The 16,600-nt window shown below is 41.4% G+C and overlaps 1 protein-coding gene across 4 annotated transcripts in view; it reads right to left on the bottom strand.

The window, feature by feature from the left end:
• MET (MET proto-oncogene, receptor tyrosine kinase) overlaps positions 2,561-16,600 on the bottom strand; it is a 126,182-nt gene continuing 112,142 nt past the window's right edge. For all 4 annotated transcript variants that reach the window (XM_011516223.2, NM_001127500.3, NM_000245.4 and 1 more), the window contains 2 exons: positions 5,147-5,283; positions 2,561-5,051 (listed from right to left, as the gene is read on the bottom strand). In XM_011516223.2, coding sequence (XP_011514525.1) covers positions 4,814-5,051; positions 5,147-5,283 — 375 coding nt within the window. In that variant the 3' untranslated portion in view covers positions 2,561-4,813. The remainder of the gene's footprint in view (positions 5,052-5,146; positions 5,284-16,600) is intronic.

The following is a 16,600-nucleotide window of genomic DNA, read 5'->3' as shown; positions in this document are numbered from 1 at the left end:
CTAAAACAGAAAAAAGGAATCTGTCACAGGAGAAGTAATTAAAGTGATAGTGGGGAGTGTAGAGAAAGAAGTGAGGGAGTTCTCTTGCCAGTGCCACTGTCTTGTCACCTTTCTCCTCTCTCACCCTCACTGTCATATGCAGGATGAGGCAGAATCACAGCTGTTTCTACTGTATATAAAGCAGGTGTGAGGTGAAGAATGGGGTAAGAAGTTGGCTGGGCATGGTGGCTCATGCCTGTAATCTCAGAACTTTGGGAGCCTGAGGCGGGCAGATCCCCTGAGGTCAGGAGTTCAAGACCAGCCTGGCCAACATGGTGAAACCCCGTTTCTACTAAAAATACAAAAATTAGCTGTTGTGGTGGTGGACACCTCTAATCCCAGCTACTCAGGAGGCTGAGGCAGGAGAATCGCTTGAACCCAGGAGGTGGAGGTTGCAGTGAGCAAAGATCATGCCACTGCACTCCAGCCTGGGCAACAGAGTGAGACTCTGTCTCAAAAACAAAACAAAACAAACAACAACAAAAACCAAAAAACAAACAAAAAACAAAAACAAAAAGAATGGGGTAAGAATTTGGATTTAAACATCTGTAATGCCCCTCCAAGCCTCATTTCCCTTTAGCCAACTAAGGCTACCTATACATGGGCTTTTATTGTCTAAGACTAAAGATAATAATGATATTATGATTATTGAACAACTATGGTGTGCCAGGTGCCTTTATACACTTTTTTTTAAAGTCCTCAAACAACTTTGTGGGGGTAACCATGATTAATGTATTTGACAGATGAGAACACAGGTTTAGAGAAGTCCAATATGTTGCCCAATCTGAGTTAGGGCTTGGTCTGTTGCCCAGGAGCCTGCACTTTGTGTATGTTTAAACTGTGGTGTCTCTTCAAGACAACTCACAAATCTAAGAAATGAATAATTTTTAATATTCATTAATTATGTAATTTTGTCTGTTTCATCAAATTCCTTGGGGTGAGAGGGACTGTTTATTTTTATATCCCCATTACCTAGCAGTGTCTGACATATATAGGTGCTTGATAAATATTCGTTGAGTTAAATAAAATACTAATCAATTTCTTTTATATAATGCTAACTCATTTTCTGAACTAAATCAGGTAGATTAACAATGCCAGATGTCAGCATTCAAGCATTTGATGTATTTCTACGCGTTATATATCCCTTCTCCCTATTTCTTTAAAGATGGAATCCACTGTGTAGGTCAGCGAGCAAAAATATAATTGATGCTTATATCGTGAAGCGAAAACCCTGTGATAATTAAAAATGCGTAGCACCAAGCCAAACTTCTTAAAGGTCTATCTTTCTATTTCTCTTTCCCCAGAAAAGTCTGCATTCTCCATATTAGTGTTCTCCAAACATCATGGGAGCTACATAGGCAATAACTCTGTCCATGGTGGTTTAAAGTAGGCTGGGTGTGGTGGCTCACGCCTGTAATCCCAGCACTTTGGGAGGCTGAGGCAGGTGGATCACTTGAGGCCAGGAGTTTGAGACCAGCCTGGCCAACATGGCGAGACCCCGTCTCTACTAAAATACAAAAATCAGCTGGGCGTGATGGCGTGTGCCTGTAATTCCAGCTACTCAGGAGGCTGAGGCAGGAGAATGGCTTGAACCCAGGAGGTGGAGGTTGCAGTGAGCCAAGATCATGCCACTGCACTCCAGCTGGGGGGGCCAGAGTGGGACCCTGTCTCAAAAATAAATAAATAAATAAATAAATAAATAAATAAATAAAGTGATGGGGAATAAGAAAATGCTGTTTCAGTTCAGCAATTATTTGAGAATCTACTAAGTGCCGGATTCTAGAGATGTAAAGATGACAGGTTGTTCTCCTTATGGGAGAGAGTTGGATTGAACTTTCTGGGGAAATGCATCTTTTGAGTGGGAGAGAGTTTGGCCGTGAGCGGGGGTTGAATTATCTCCCAGTAAAGGATCAGTGTCCATTGTATTTTGTAGGCATTATTTTAAATTGGGTTCTTTTAAAATTAGATTACCCCCAATGTGTCACACAATTCTTAGATGGCTGAAATTATCACCTTTGAATTCCCTTACCATTACAAGAATATACATGGAGATAACCTGAAGGTAATTTCTCTGGTAACTGGGGGTAAAAGGGTGGGCACCTGTGTAGATAAAGAGTAGTTTTGATGGGGCAAGAAGGCCTCTCTCTCCAACCCACACCTAGGTATCTGTGCGCCAATGGTGTGGCTGCTGCTCCATTTTTGTGTCTTCTAGTCTAAGGACACACCTTGCTGGAGAAGAGCACCATGCTAAAACAGGAACCAGATGCTCTAGCAGTTGAAAGATCGTCAGAAAAATCCAGGTAATCAGCAACTTAGACCAAACCCTTGGAAAGACAGAGACTTCCTGAGATTCGGGGATGCATGCTGTTTTACTACTTCCTCAGCATTCACTTGACTAAGGCTCTCCTACATGGATGAGCTCTATGCAGCCAGGTGAAATCCATCTTAGGCTTCCTCTATCATTATGCAAATGCAGGTAATCAAGCATGACTGGCAATAACCACTATCAGTATACAAGATGTTGCATCACTTTACTTTAATTGCATGATTTATCAGAACAACTATTAACATACGAAGTACCATTCAGTTCAGCTGCAGGTATAGGCAGTGACAAGTATCTAATTCTTAGAAGAATCACTTACTCCCACAATCTGTCCAGACACATTAATCTAAGGACAAGTTTATAAATAGCAAACGTGATTTTCACATTGCAGTGTTCTCAAGAATGTATATACAAGTGTGTAGTCCTGTTGATGGGATGTTTCCCCGAGTTCTTTCTATTGATGCGTTCATGCTCTTGACCCTGGTAGAGACAGTTCTTTCTTTCCACAGAGCAGATTTTCTTTTGTCATCCACCATTTACAATACTCTGTGAATTAGTATTACTTATTACATTTATGAAACGGCAATATTTGGATTGTAATAGCTCTTCAGTACAATTCCTTGTGTCTTCTGGTAAGTCTCTGCACTATCAGAGAGCTTTTAGTTATAATCATTTTCCTGCAACAACAGCCAAACTCAACTATTGAGTTTCAGTGTGACACACCCTCTTTGTAGCTTGCTGGGTTAACCCTTGGCTTCAAGTCCTGATGATGTAATGAGGGTGGGGTGTATTGGCAATCAGTACATTTCCTTATCGCAATTTACAGTCATTGAAAATCATGCTGTCATTAATCCCAGTCTGACATACCTTTTCTAAAATGTTCACAGTGCAGTGTTTTTGTGGCCTAACAAAATTTTTCTCATATCATTAAAAATAAACATTTTTATAAAAAATATAACACTTTAAATGTTTACGTCGACAAAACCAGTTAGAGTAACCTACACCACATGCACTATACAGTAGCAAGCACAAAATTCCACAGAATGAAGCATCACAAAGTTCTGCTCAGGGTGGCTATTCCATCTAGGTGAAATAGCTGGGATTTTCAATTGCCTTTTTCATTTGTTTCTAAAGTATGTTTTGCTTAACATAAAACACACCCTAATGCAAAATAAAACTCCCCAAAAGTTTTGTTTCCAATTGCTTGCGAGGTGGGAACCTGCCACCGAGACAGAGGCTAATCTTTTCAATCCATCCACCCTTTCTTTGCTCTACCTATGAGCTGTGATTGGAACCAATGAACCTTTTAGTAAAATGTATCCTGCTTTACAAACATGCTGAGTTATCTTTAAAAATATTTATCAACAAATTACTTGTCTTATTTTGAGTTTTCATTTAAAAAAATACACACAAAACATCTACATGTTCACATTCATTAGATCAGAGTAGCATCATTCTCAAACAGTGGGTTTTTATATGACAACTAAATATTTCATGATGACTAAATTATTTCATACAAATTTTCTTAATGTCATCTATGTACATTACATCCTGTTCATTTATAAACATGTTTTGTGTGATGCTATTTTGAAACTTTGACTGTATTGCCTATAAATATTCTTCCAACCAAAGGAATGTCTATACAAAAATTTATAAGGGCTGGGCGCAGTGGCTCATGCCTGTAATCCTAGCACTTTGGGAGGCTGAGGTGGGTGGATTTCTTGAGTCCAGGAGTTTGAAACCAGCCTTGGCAACATGGCAAAACCCCGTCTCTACAAAAAATACAAAAATTAGCCGGGGATGGTGGTGTGCGCCTGTAGTCCCAGCTATTCGGGAGGCTTGAGCCTGGGAGGTGGAGGTTGCAGTGAGCTATGATCACACCACTGCACTACAGCCCTGGCAACAGAGTGAGATCCTGTCTCAAAAAACAAACAAACATTTAAAAGGGAATGTTTACCTAATGGGTGAATGACACCATCAGTAATGAAAAATGTTATTGACCATACAACACACAAAAGTGTTTTGAAACACTAGAATTCTAAATGAGTGGCCTGTTCTGGGGCTGCCGCTCCTGTCCTGAGCATTACTATCTCTTCTGAGTTTTCTGTGATCAAGAAGCCCTCAATATTTCCTGCTTCAATTTCCCATATGAAATCAAGTGGTACCTGATTTTTAAAAAATTCAACCCAGAATTCAAGTTTTGGACTCCAATATGACAGGAGTGTTGTCACGGCTGCAGGCCATTGGTCCGTGGCCTGTGGGACCAAGCCTCTGGTTCTGATGCTCTGTCAGATAAGAAATTCCTTAGAATCCAGTAATTTAAATAACAATACAAGTCCTATAATAGTGCAATTTTGGCAAGAGCAAAGAATATCGATGGCCTTTTAAAGGTCAGGCAGTGAAAAAACCATTGGACAAAGTGTGGACTGTTGCTTTGACATAGTACTAGCACTATGATGTCTCCCAGAAGGAGGCTGGTCGTGTGTCCACCTCATCATCAGCGTTATCTTCTGATGACAACAGAGAAGGATACGGAGCGACACATTTTACGTTCACATAAGTAGCGTTCACATGGACATAGTGCTCCCCAATGAAAGTAGAGAAGATCGCTGATATCCGGGACACCAGTTCAGAAAAGGATGGGCGCATTTCGGCTTTAGGGTGCCAGCATTTTAGCATTACTTCATATCTGTTCCAAAAAGAAAGACATGCTGTAAGAGACCCTTTGAAGGCAGGCATTTCTGTAAAAGTAAAGAACGTAAGAGGTACAGAAAGACTACTTACAAGGGGTCTGGGCAGTATTCGGGTTGTAGGAGTCTTCTCCCTTGCAACAAGTAAACAGTTATATCAAAGGTGTTTACGTCAGGATAAGGTGGGGCTCCTCTTGTCATCAGCTCCCAGAGGAGCACGCCAAAGGACCACTAGTAAAACAAGAAACAGGACAGATGAGGTGAGAGATGTGACCATACATATATGAAAGGAAATCAGTAGGTCTTGGTAACTAAACTTGGCTTTACATACTCAATACGGTTTCTGTTTTGGGCAACAATTTTCTTAAAGGCAATTATTAAGCTATACATTTCATGACTTGTTTAAACAAGTAAGGTTTAGATTATAAGTAAATGTAAAGTTTTCTAAAAGAATATCTGAAGTCTACATGATGATGAAGATTCCATCTGTAGTTGGTAGAATATCTCTTCCAAAATTCTCTCCCGCTGTGTCAAAGCACTAACATGTTTCTATCCTTTTCTTTTCCAATAGCTTCACTACAATTTTACATTACTTGTAAAAGAAGAAGAAAGCCTCCCAAAATTTAAATTTGTGTGGTTTCAAACTGAACATAAATACTCTTTAAGAAATGTAACCACATTGAAAGGTTACTATTAAATGGGAAGGTCTAAATCAACATAAGTAAAAATACATATTAAAAATCAGAAATAAAAAAAACTGCAAGGCAACAAGTTTCTCTATTGAAAATTAATTTCAATAAAACTGTCACATGAAGATGTGAAAGTACTAGATTCATATAAAATAGCCGTATCAGTACTATATAGGAAGATCACAGGGACACGGAGAGGTTAAGTGACTTGCTAAAATTCCCCAATACATCTGAGTCCACACTGGGATAAACATTTAAGAGTTCCTGACCCTTAGGTCTTGTTTGGTCTACTGAACTTCAATAAACATGCAATTTCTTGATTTAAAACACTGTGCTCAGGATAGACCAGGTCATACATATTATCTCCCCCTGGACATGTGCCCATGCAAGAATGACACGAGGAGAGTCAGCATGGGCAGAGGCCGCCCCTGTGGACAGGACCCAGGGGGGCAGTTCTGGCCCAGCAACACTTCCAGGCCACTCTAAGAGTAGGAAGCATAAGGAGGAAGAAATGAAGGAAGCTTGGAGCAGAAGGAAAATCCACACCAGACAGCTGGAGTAGGAAGACATAAAACTGAGAGGCAAGTGTAGCTTGCAGTACCCAGCAAGAAGGAGAATAAAGCCTGCCTTTGAACGCTGCGACTGAAAGAAAGAAATGAGGTAGATGCTGTAATTGCTGATACAAATTACCATTAATGACTTCTTTGCCCAAGTGCAAGAACCCTTGATGGCTGCTGACTGCCTTGATCCCAACAGAAAACTCAAACCCCTTGCCAGGAGGGAGCTACAGAACTTTGCTGTCTAATTCAGCTTTGCAAAGTAGAAGTTTTCAAAGTCTGAAAATCTTAACAATCAACAATCACTTCTGACAACATCATCGTGTTAACTTTCAAGTCCCAGAATATGCATTAACATTTAAAATCAATTTAACAAGTATCAATTGACCCTTGATCACATACGAGTAGGTTACTGTTCAAGTTACTAGATAGGTCCCAGGGCTGAATGAACAGGGTTAAGAGAATTGAGCAGATAACTGCCACACAGGACAATAAGATAATAGCTGTAATATAGAGCAGTAATATCAAAGAGGTACAAAGGTTGCCAAAAGTCAAAGAGATAATAGTAGGGTACTGAGAAAGGCTGCAGGAAGAGAGTGACAGTAAGGTGGGTCTTGAGGAACAGGGAGACTTTGTTTTATAGGTGCAGGTAATATGAGGGCAGAGGGAGAGTTTTGGGTGGAGGGGGTGGGGCCAGGAGTAACAGTACACATGTGTTCTTTCTTTCCTTTTTTATTTTTTGAGATGGAGTTTCGCTCTTTTGCCCAGGCTGGAGTGAAGTGGTGCAATCTTGGTGTACTGCAACCTCTTCCTCCCGGGTTCAAGCGATTCTCCTGCCTCAGCCTCCTGAGTAGCTGGGATTATAGGCGCCTGCCACCATGCCAGGCTAATTTTTGTATTTTTAGTAGAGACGGGGTTTCTCCATGTTGGCCAGGCTGGTCTCTAACTCCTGACCTCAGGTGATCCACCCTCCTTGGCCTCCCAAAGTGCTGGGATTACAGGCATGAGCCACGGCGCCTGGCTGCATATGTGTTCTTATTAAACCATAAAGTATAATAGTTCACGTTGCTTGACATGTTGGAGTAGGGGAAGGGATTAGGGACCCATAAGATTGAAATGGGACTGTGCTGTGGAGGTTTTTAAATGTTGAAAGTGGGTTAGACAGGACGGGACAAGGTGGTTCACATCTGTAATCCCAGCACTTTGGGAGGCGGGGGTGGGCAGATCACTTGAGGTCAAGAGTTCGGGACCAGCCTGGCCAACATGGTGAAACCCTGTCTCTACTAAAAATACAAAAATTAGCCAGGCATGGTGGTGTGCACCTGTAATCCCAGCTACTTGGGAGGCTGAAGCAGGACAATCGCTTGAACCTGGGAGGTGGAAGTTGCAGTGAGCTGAGATCGCGCCCCTGCACTCCAGCTTGGGCGATAGAGTGAGACTCCGTCTCAAAAAAAAAAAAAAAGAAAGTGCGTTAGACTGAAATCAATGGGACATGGCTGAGTTCTGAGTTGTGCTCAGGGAGATGGCATCTGTAAGCGCCAAGCTTAGAACAGAAAGGAGAAGCTGATTCACAATATGGAGGCCAGTTAGGAGGTTTCTGAATAAGAATAGGTGAGGGACACTCCTGCATACCTACAATACGGAAGCCTATGAGGCTTTTCTCTGGAATTAAGGTAGTGAAAGAGTGTATTTGTCATATAATGATTCATGCATAGGCATTATATCCTTTACAAAACATCTTATTTAATCCTTATAATGGATTGTACTTGGTTACAATCCTGTGATGTAATTGGTTTTATTTTAGGATGAGGAAGCCAAAGTTCTGTGATCAGGTCTCCCTATCTGACAGTCTACGCTACATGTAGATTTGTCTGGAGACAAAGTCACATAAAAGGGGGATGGAGTTGGGTAATTTTCCAAGGAATTAAAGGACGTGGGCAATAACTGGGTATCAGAAAATAGCTGGAGGACTCACGGGACAGGGAGGTAAGAGGAAGAAGGTTTCCAGGAAGAGCATTGTATTGTCTGCACTCCACACTCCCCTGAAAGCATTGTGGGGCTGACAGCAGGGTGAGGGGAGGGACAGTGAAAGAGGAGGTGATGCTGATTAGGATGATGACCAAGAAGAGAGAAGCTGGTGTGTGTGTGTGTGTGTGTGTGTGTGTGTGTGTGTGTGTGTGTGTCTGTCGGTTGAGGGGGGGTCGGGGGTGAGGGGAGGGAGGTGTACAATTCATGTGCATTAGGAAACAAGTCAGTTTTAGTTTCAAGCCATGAGAGCGCTATCATCCGTGCTTACTGTATGGCATTGGTCAAGCCATTTTGAGCATTTGAGCACCAGCAATAAGCTCATCTGGAGAATATCTGGCCTAACTTTACTGAAGGTGATGATCAAAGAAATGATTAAATGTGAAAGATGGTTGTAAGCTATGAAAAGTGATAGACAGGGTTGCTACTGAGGTAAGTGAGCAAGGAAGGATGATAGGCAAATCTGAGCATTCAAGAGTAGATGCATGGAGATACAACATCAACACCAGGATTGATAAAAGAAAAAAAATAAATTGATAAAGTTTTATCAATTGGTAAACTGATAAAATTTTCAACAAAATCAAAAACTTTTGCTTTTTGAAGGATACCATTAAATAAATGAAAAGGTAATCCACAGACTAGAAAAATGCATTTGTGGGCCAAGTGTCACCGGTGGCTCATGCCTGTGATCCCAGCACTTTGGGAGGCCAAGGCAGGCGGATCACTTGAAGTCAGGAGCCTGGCCAACATGGTGAAACCCTGTCTCTACTAAAAATACAAAAATTAGCTGGGCATGGTGGCTCATGCCTGCAATCCCAGCTACTGGCGAGGCTGAGGTAAAAGAATCACTTGAACCCAAGAAGCAGAGGTAGCAGTGAGCCAAGATTGCACCACTGCACTTCAGGCTGGGTGACAGAGTGAGACTTCGTCCCAAAAGAAAAAAAAATGCATTGGCAAAAGTGTATCGCATAAGATATGCTTGTATCCACAATATACAGAGAACTCGAACAATTCAATAAGAAACAAAAACAAGCCAATAAAATAAACCCTAACTAAATTAATATTATTAATAAATACTTAAAAATAGGCAAAAGATTTGAGTAGACACTTTACTAAAGGTGATATAAGGATGGCAAATAAGCTCATGAAAAGAGGCTCGACATCACTAGCCATTGGGAAATAAAGATTAAAAAGAAAATGAGACAGCACTACAACCAATTAGAATGACTAACAATCAGAAAGCTGACAATGTCAAGTGCGGGAGAGGATGCTGAACAACTGGAACTCTTATGGATCGCTGGTGGGGACATAAAATGATACAGCCACTTTGAAAAATAGTTGGCAGTTTCTCATAAAGTTGAATGTACACTTATCTTACAACCCAGTTAGTTACTCTTACACCTAGATATTCACCCAAGAGAAATAAAAATTACGTTCACAGAAAAACCTTCAAGCAAATGTCATAGCCATTACAATTATGTATAAGTAATTGCCTGAAAATGGAAAGAACTCAAATGTTCTTTATTATTATTATTTTTGAGACGGGTCTCACTCTGTCATCCAGGCTGGAGTACAGTGGCATGATCTCAGCTCACTGCAACCTCTGCATCCAGGGTTCAAGCAACTGTCCCGCCGCAGCCTCCTGAATAGTTGGGATTACAGGCATGTGCCACCACTCCCGGCTAATTTTTTGTATTTTTAGTGGAGATGGGGTTTTACCATGTTGGCTAGGCTGGTCTCGAACTCCTAACATCAAGTGATCTGCCCTCCTCGGCCTCCCAAAGTGCTGGGATTACAGGCGTGAGCCACCTCTCCTGGCCCCAAATGTTCTTTAACTGGTGAATGGATAAATAAAATGTGGTACATCTGTACGATGGAATACTACTCAAAAATAAAAAGAGATGAACTACTCTGCTGTGGAAAACAGTAGAGAGGTCCCCAAAAATTTGAAAATAAAATTACCATATGATCCAGCAATCCTGTCTCTGTGTGTATATACAAAAGAATTGAAAAAAAGGATCTCAAAGAGAATTTTTACATCCATGGCCACTGCGGCACTATTCATAATAGCCAAGAGGTATAAGAAACCTAAATGTCCATTGACAGATGAATGGATAAAGAAAATGTGGCATATATGTACAATGGAATATTATTCTGCCTTTAAAAAGAAGGAAATCTTGTCATATACTAGAACATGGATGAAGCTTGAGAATATTTTGCTAAATGAAATAAGTCGGTCCTAAAAAGACAAATACTGCATGATTCCACTTATATGAGGTATCTGAAGTAGTCAAACTCTTAGACAAAGTAGAATTGTGGTTGCCAGGGCCTGGGGGAGAGAGAGAATTGTTTAATGGATATAGAGTTTCAGTTTTGCTAAGATGAAAAAGTTCTAGGAATCTATTGCACAACAATGTTCACATAGTTAACAATACTGTACTGTGTATTTAAAAATGGTTGTATGCAGCCATAAAAAGGAACAAGATCATGTCTTTTGCAGGGACATGGATGAAGCTGGAAGCTGTTATCCTTAGCAAACTAACGCAGGAACAGAAAACCAAATACCGCAAGTTCTCACTAAGTGGGAGCTGAACAATGAGAGCACATGAACACAGGGAAGGGAACAACACACACTGGGGCCTATCGAGGGAGGGGAGGAGCATCAGGAAAAGCAGCTAATGCATGCCGAGCTTAATACCCAGGTGATGGGTTGATAGGTGCAGCAAACCACCATGGCACACGTTTACCTACGTAACAAATCTGCACATCTTGCACATGTACCCTGGAACTTAAAATAAAATAAAAATCGTTCAGATGGTAAATTTTATGTATTTTTTTGCCACAATAAGAAAGGAATGAATTACTGATACGTTACTACTACTGATACGACAACATGGATGGCTCTCAAATGTAATATGCGAAGTAAAAGGAGACAGACTCATAAGACTACTGACTGCATGATTCCATTTATATGACATTTTAGAAAAAGTAAAACTCTAGAGACAGAAAATAAATCTGGTTTTCTGATTTCCAGGTCCTGGGGATAGGGTAGAGGTTGACTACAAAGGAGCATAAGGAAATTTTCTGAGATGATAGAACTGTTCTATGTCCTGATTGTTGGGGTGGTGGTTACACAACTGCATGCATTTGTCAAAACCTGAAAAACCGAACACTGAAAAGAATGAGGAGTGGGTAAATTACACAATGGTGATGCCATTAATCAAAGCCAGGAGGTGAGAAATTGAGGGTTTGGCAGGAAAGAGTTTGATTCTGAACATGGTAAATTTGTGACACTGATGATGACATCCAGGTAGAGAGAATCAAAGGTGGTTATTGATGGGAATGGTTCCAACTGTTGGTGGAGGATGACCCCTAAAGACAAAAATCCTGGGAGACAGCTACATCTGAGAGAAGGAAGACAGAAGGAAGAGAAGCCATTGAGGATAAAGAAAACAACCTAGAAGCAGGAGGAAAACTGGAAGTTTCAGTGTCCCAGAAACCAAAGGAAGAGGAAATTTCAAGAAAAATGAGGGTTACAATAATGTTAAACACTTCAGAAAGATGAGGCAGATAAGGGCTGAGAACAAGGAAGTCAATACACAGTTTAATGGAAGAACTTGTATTAAGTGTGAAACAACGTATAATACAATTACAACACCCATTGCAAAAGGGTTCAGAGGAGGGTGTGAGTGATTTCCAGTGTAGTGACACTCCGATTTTGTTTGAATGGACTTAAAGAGTATTCAGATTTTAGCCAAACTCCATTTGGGCATTTTCTAGAAAGAAAACCCAATCTACAAGCAGGCAAGTTTTTGGTCGCAGGTTTCAACATACACATAGCTCATTGCATGCTTTTGGAAATGTTCCATGTCAACATTCAAGATTGCGCTGTCCTGGAAGTAAAACACTGTGCAAATTTATCCATGCAATCAGTAACCATTTCCCAAAGCAGCATTATGTACAGATTATTCAGGTTCAGCCTTTATGTAGCACAAAATAGTGTCTTTCGATGAGAGTGAGAAAGAAATAGCACCATCCTATCTGCAGAAATCTATGTACATTTCCAGTCAAGTATCTGAGTGACTGTGGCTATGGTGGAAGCCTTGGCCTCTGTGCTGTCTGTGTGTGTTTGTTGGGGAGGTGGGGGTATTGTTGCATGTATGTGGCTGTCAAGAAGCTTAGAATCCCAACACTTGCCCTAAACATCCAAAATTTCATCAGGCTCTTTTTTTATAAATCAGCTTTGTTGAGGTATAATTTATAGATCATAAAACTCACCAATTTTAAGTGATTGGTGATGTTTAGTAAATTAAAGTGATTAAATGATGTTTAGTAAATTTATATAGACGTGCAGCTATCATATCATCACAGTCCAGTTTTAGATCATCTCAACATTCCAGAAAATTCCCTCATGTCCATTTGTGGTTTATCTTCACTCCTTCTCTTGGCCCCAGGCAACCACTGATTTGTTTTCTGACTCTGTAGTTCTGCCTCTTTCTAGAAATTTCATATAAATGGAACCATTCAACATGTAATTTTTTTATCTGCCTTTTTTTCACTTAACATAATGTTTCTGAGGTTTATCATGCTGTAGTAGGCATCAGTAATTCCTTTATGTTGATGAATGGTTTAGTCCATTGTATGGACACACCACATTTTTTTTTTATCCATTCACCCGTTGATGGACATTAAGATTGCTTCTGGTTTTTGGCTATTATGAAGAAAACTACTGTGATCATTCATGTACAAATCTTCATGTGGGCATATGTTTCATTTCATGTGCTCATTAGCTAGCTATTCTTACGTCTCTTTGGTAAAATGTCTATTCAAATCTTCTGCTTACTTAAAAAAATTGAGTAATATTGCCTTTGCTATGGTTTGAATGTGTCCCCCAAAGTTCATGTGTTGGACACTTAATCCCCTCCCAATGCAACAGTGTTCAGAGGAGGGATCTTTAAGAGGTAATTAGGTCATGAGGCTCTACTCTCATGGGTGAATTAATGTCATTATCTTGGGAGTCAGTTCATTATTGTGGAAGGGGGTTTGTTAGAGAATCTGTTCACCTCTTGCTCTCTCTTGCACTCTCTCACACCCATGTGATGCCTTCCACCATGTTATGACACAGCAAGAAGACCTTCAGCACATGTGGCCCCTTGATCTTGGACTTCCTGGCCTCCAGAACTGTGGGCCAAATACATTTCTGTTCATTATAAATCCCCCAATTTGTGGTATTGTGTTATAGCAGCACAAAACGACTAAGACAGTCTTATTATTGAGTTGTAAGGGTTGGCTCTGGCTTCTTAATGGCAGACTAACCCTCAAGTCTGAATGAACAGTATGTTCTTGGAGGATGGGTTAATTCTCCCTATCTTTTGCCTTCACCTGCCACTGTCACTAACATGTCCCCAGTCTCCCTCTCTAGCACCCACTTCTTTCACCTCTTTCAGAATCTTTCAGGATCAAAATCCCAGGCATTAAGCTCTACATGGCACTATCACTTTCTCTTACCAATCTCATGCATGCTGAAGTCCTGGTCCTCCACCATGACCTATGACCTACTTACTCATTGAAAACAAACTCCCAGTCACCTCGTCTTATTCTCTAATAGTTCCCCTACCTCCTCACAGGAACTGAAACTCAGCTTTCAGTTGAAGTCACAATTTCTTTGCAACTCTTGCCAATAGGGGTCACACCTCTCCCTCTTGCTGATTCACAGAGAGGTGGATGAGATGACTTCTTGCTTCCCATGCCACACTCAGATCTCTGACCCATCATCTCTCAAAAGCTACCAACCCTTTCTCTTCAAGTGCATGTCCCCCATGAACATTATTTTCTGACTACTTTGTTTGCACATTTTCCTTTTTTAGTTGTCATCCTTAAGGACTGAAACATCAAATGTTTCTCTATCTTCAGACATCACAGTCCTCTGACTTACAACATGTGAATAGAATAAGTGTACTCTCCATTCCATTCAACACCTGTGCTCCTAAGCACACTCTAGACCTCCAAATCACTCAAGTTACTCAGCTTCCAAGACCCTTCTGGTGTACTGAGTAGCAGTGGACTCTGTTGAGCATCCAATTTCTCCTTGAAACTTTCTCTTACTCTGACTTTCATGGTGGTCTTTGCTTCTGGGTCCCTTACCTCACTGCTTTTCTCTTTCACTTTATATATGTAGTTGAATAATTGCTTTTGGACTACTGAATAATTGCTTTTGGACTCTCAAAAGCATATTCCCAGCCTTGACCCCTGCTATGGACTGAATTGTGTTCCCCGGAAATTCATATGTTGAAGCTCTAAGCCCCACTGTGACAATGTTTAATGATGGGGCCATTTAGAGGTAATTCAGTTTAGACAAGGTCATGAGGGTGGGCATTCATGCTGGGATTAGTGCCCTTCTAAGAAGAGATACTGGAGAACTGACTCTTATTCTTTTAGCCATGTGAGGACACAGCAAGAAGGTGGCCATCTATAGGCCAGGAAGAGAGCCCTCAATAGAGCCCAACCATGCTGACATCCTGATCTTGGACTTCTAGCCTTCAGAATGGTTAGAAATACATTTTTGTTGTTTAAGCCAACCAGTCTGTGGTCTATTGTATGACAGCCCAGGCTGAATAATACATTTTTTACAAGTTGCAGATTCACATTTTCAATTGCCTGATGGACTTCTCTGCCTGGACATTCTACTCCCAAGGCAAACTCAGTGTGTTTAAGGCTCAACTTGCTATTTTTGTTCTGAGTCCAGCTTTTGCTTCTGTGCTTCATATATGTGTTATTGCATGAGCATATATCTTTGCTAATCTTTGACTTTTTATCAATTCCTTGGTAAATACTTCTGATTCTACCTCTGAGATGCTCCTCCTTTCATCTCTTCCTTTCCATTCTCATTGTGTCTTATTTCAAGTTCCACTTCTCACTTCATCTTCCTGCTTCTACTCCTTTCAAGTTGTCTTGGAGAATGATTGATATGGTTTGGATTTGTGTCCCCATTCAAATCTCATGTTGAATTATAATCCCCAGTGTGGGAGCTGAGGCCTGGTGGGAGGTGACTGCATCATGGAGGTAGATTTCTCCCTTTGGTGCTGTTCTCGTGATAGAATTCTACGGAGATCTGGTTGTTTAAAAGTGTGTGGCACCTCTCCCCTTGGTGAAAGCTTGTCACCACCTTGGTCCTGCTCCTGCCATATAAGATGCTCCCCCTCCCCCCACTTGGTCCTGCTCCTGCCATGCAAGATGCCTGCTCCTGCTTTGCCTTCTGCCATGGGTAAAAAGCTCCCTGAGACCTCCCCTTAGTGCTGGGGCTTTGCCAGGTGGGGCTGTGAGAAGAGGGCCACCATCCTCTAGACCCCAGAAAGGTAGATCCACTGACAGTTTGCACCGTGTGCCTGGAAAAGCTGCAGGCACTCAATGCCAGCCGATGAAAGCAGCCATGGGGCTGAGCCCTGTAGAGCCACAGGAGCAGAGCTGCCCAAGGCCTTGGGAGCCCATCCCTTGCATCAGCGTGCCCTGGATATGAGACATGGAGTCAAAAAAATTATTTTGGAGCTTTAAGATTTAATAACTGCCTTGCTGGGTTTTGGACTTGCATAGGGCCTCGGACTTGTGTAGGGCCTGGAGCCCCTTTGCTTTGGCCAATTTCTCCCGTTTGGAATGGGAGCATTCACCCAATGCCTGTACCCCCGTTGTATCTTGTAAGCAACTAACTTGTTTTTTTATTTTACAGGCTCATAGGCAGAAGGGACTTGCCTTATCTCAGATGAGACTTTGGACTTGGACTTTTTAGCTGATGTTGGAATGAGTTAAGATTTTGGGGGACTGTTGGGAAGGCATGATTGTGTTTTGAAATGTGAGAAGGACGTGAGATTTGGGAGGAACTAGGGCGGAATGATATGGTTTGACTCTGTGTTCCCACCCAACTCTCATGTAAAATTGTAATCCCCAATGCTGAGGGAGGGGCGTGGTTGGAGGTGATTGGATCATGGGGGCAGATTTCTTCCTTTGGTGCTGTTCTTGTGATAGAGTTCTCAGGAGATCTGGTTGTTTAAAAGTGCATGGCACTTCCCACAGCCCCGTTGGTCCTGCTCCTGCCATGTAAAATGCCTGCTCCTATTTTGCCTTCTGCTATGGGTAAAAGCTCCCTGAGGCCTCTCCAGCCATGCTTCCTGTAGAGTCTGCAGAACTGTGAGCCAATTAAATCTCTTTTTATAAGTTACCCAGGCTCAGTATTTCTTTATAGCAGTGTGAGAACGGACTAATACAATGATGAAAGATTGCAGT

This window comes from Homo sapiens, chromosome 7 (genome assembly GCF_000001405.40).
Source record: "Homo sapiens chromosome 7, GRCh38.p14 Primary Assembly".
NCBI classification, from domain to species: domain Eukaryota; kingdom Metazoa; phylum Chordata; class Mammalia; order Primates; family Hominidae; genus Homo; species Homo sapiens.
Note: the sequence above shows the minus strand (reverse complement) of the source record. Positions and strands in the feature narration are given on the sequence as shown.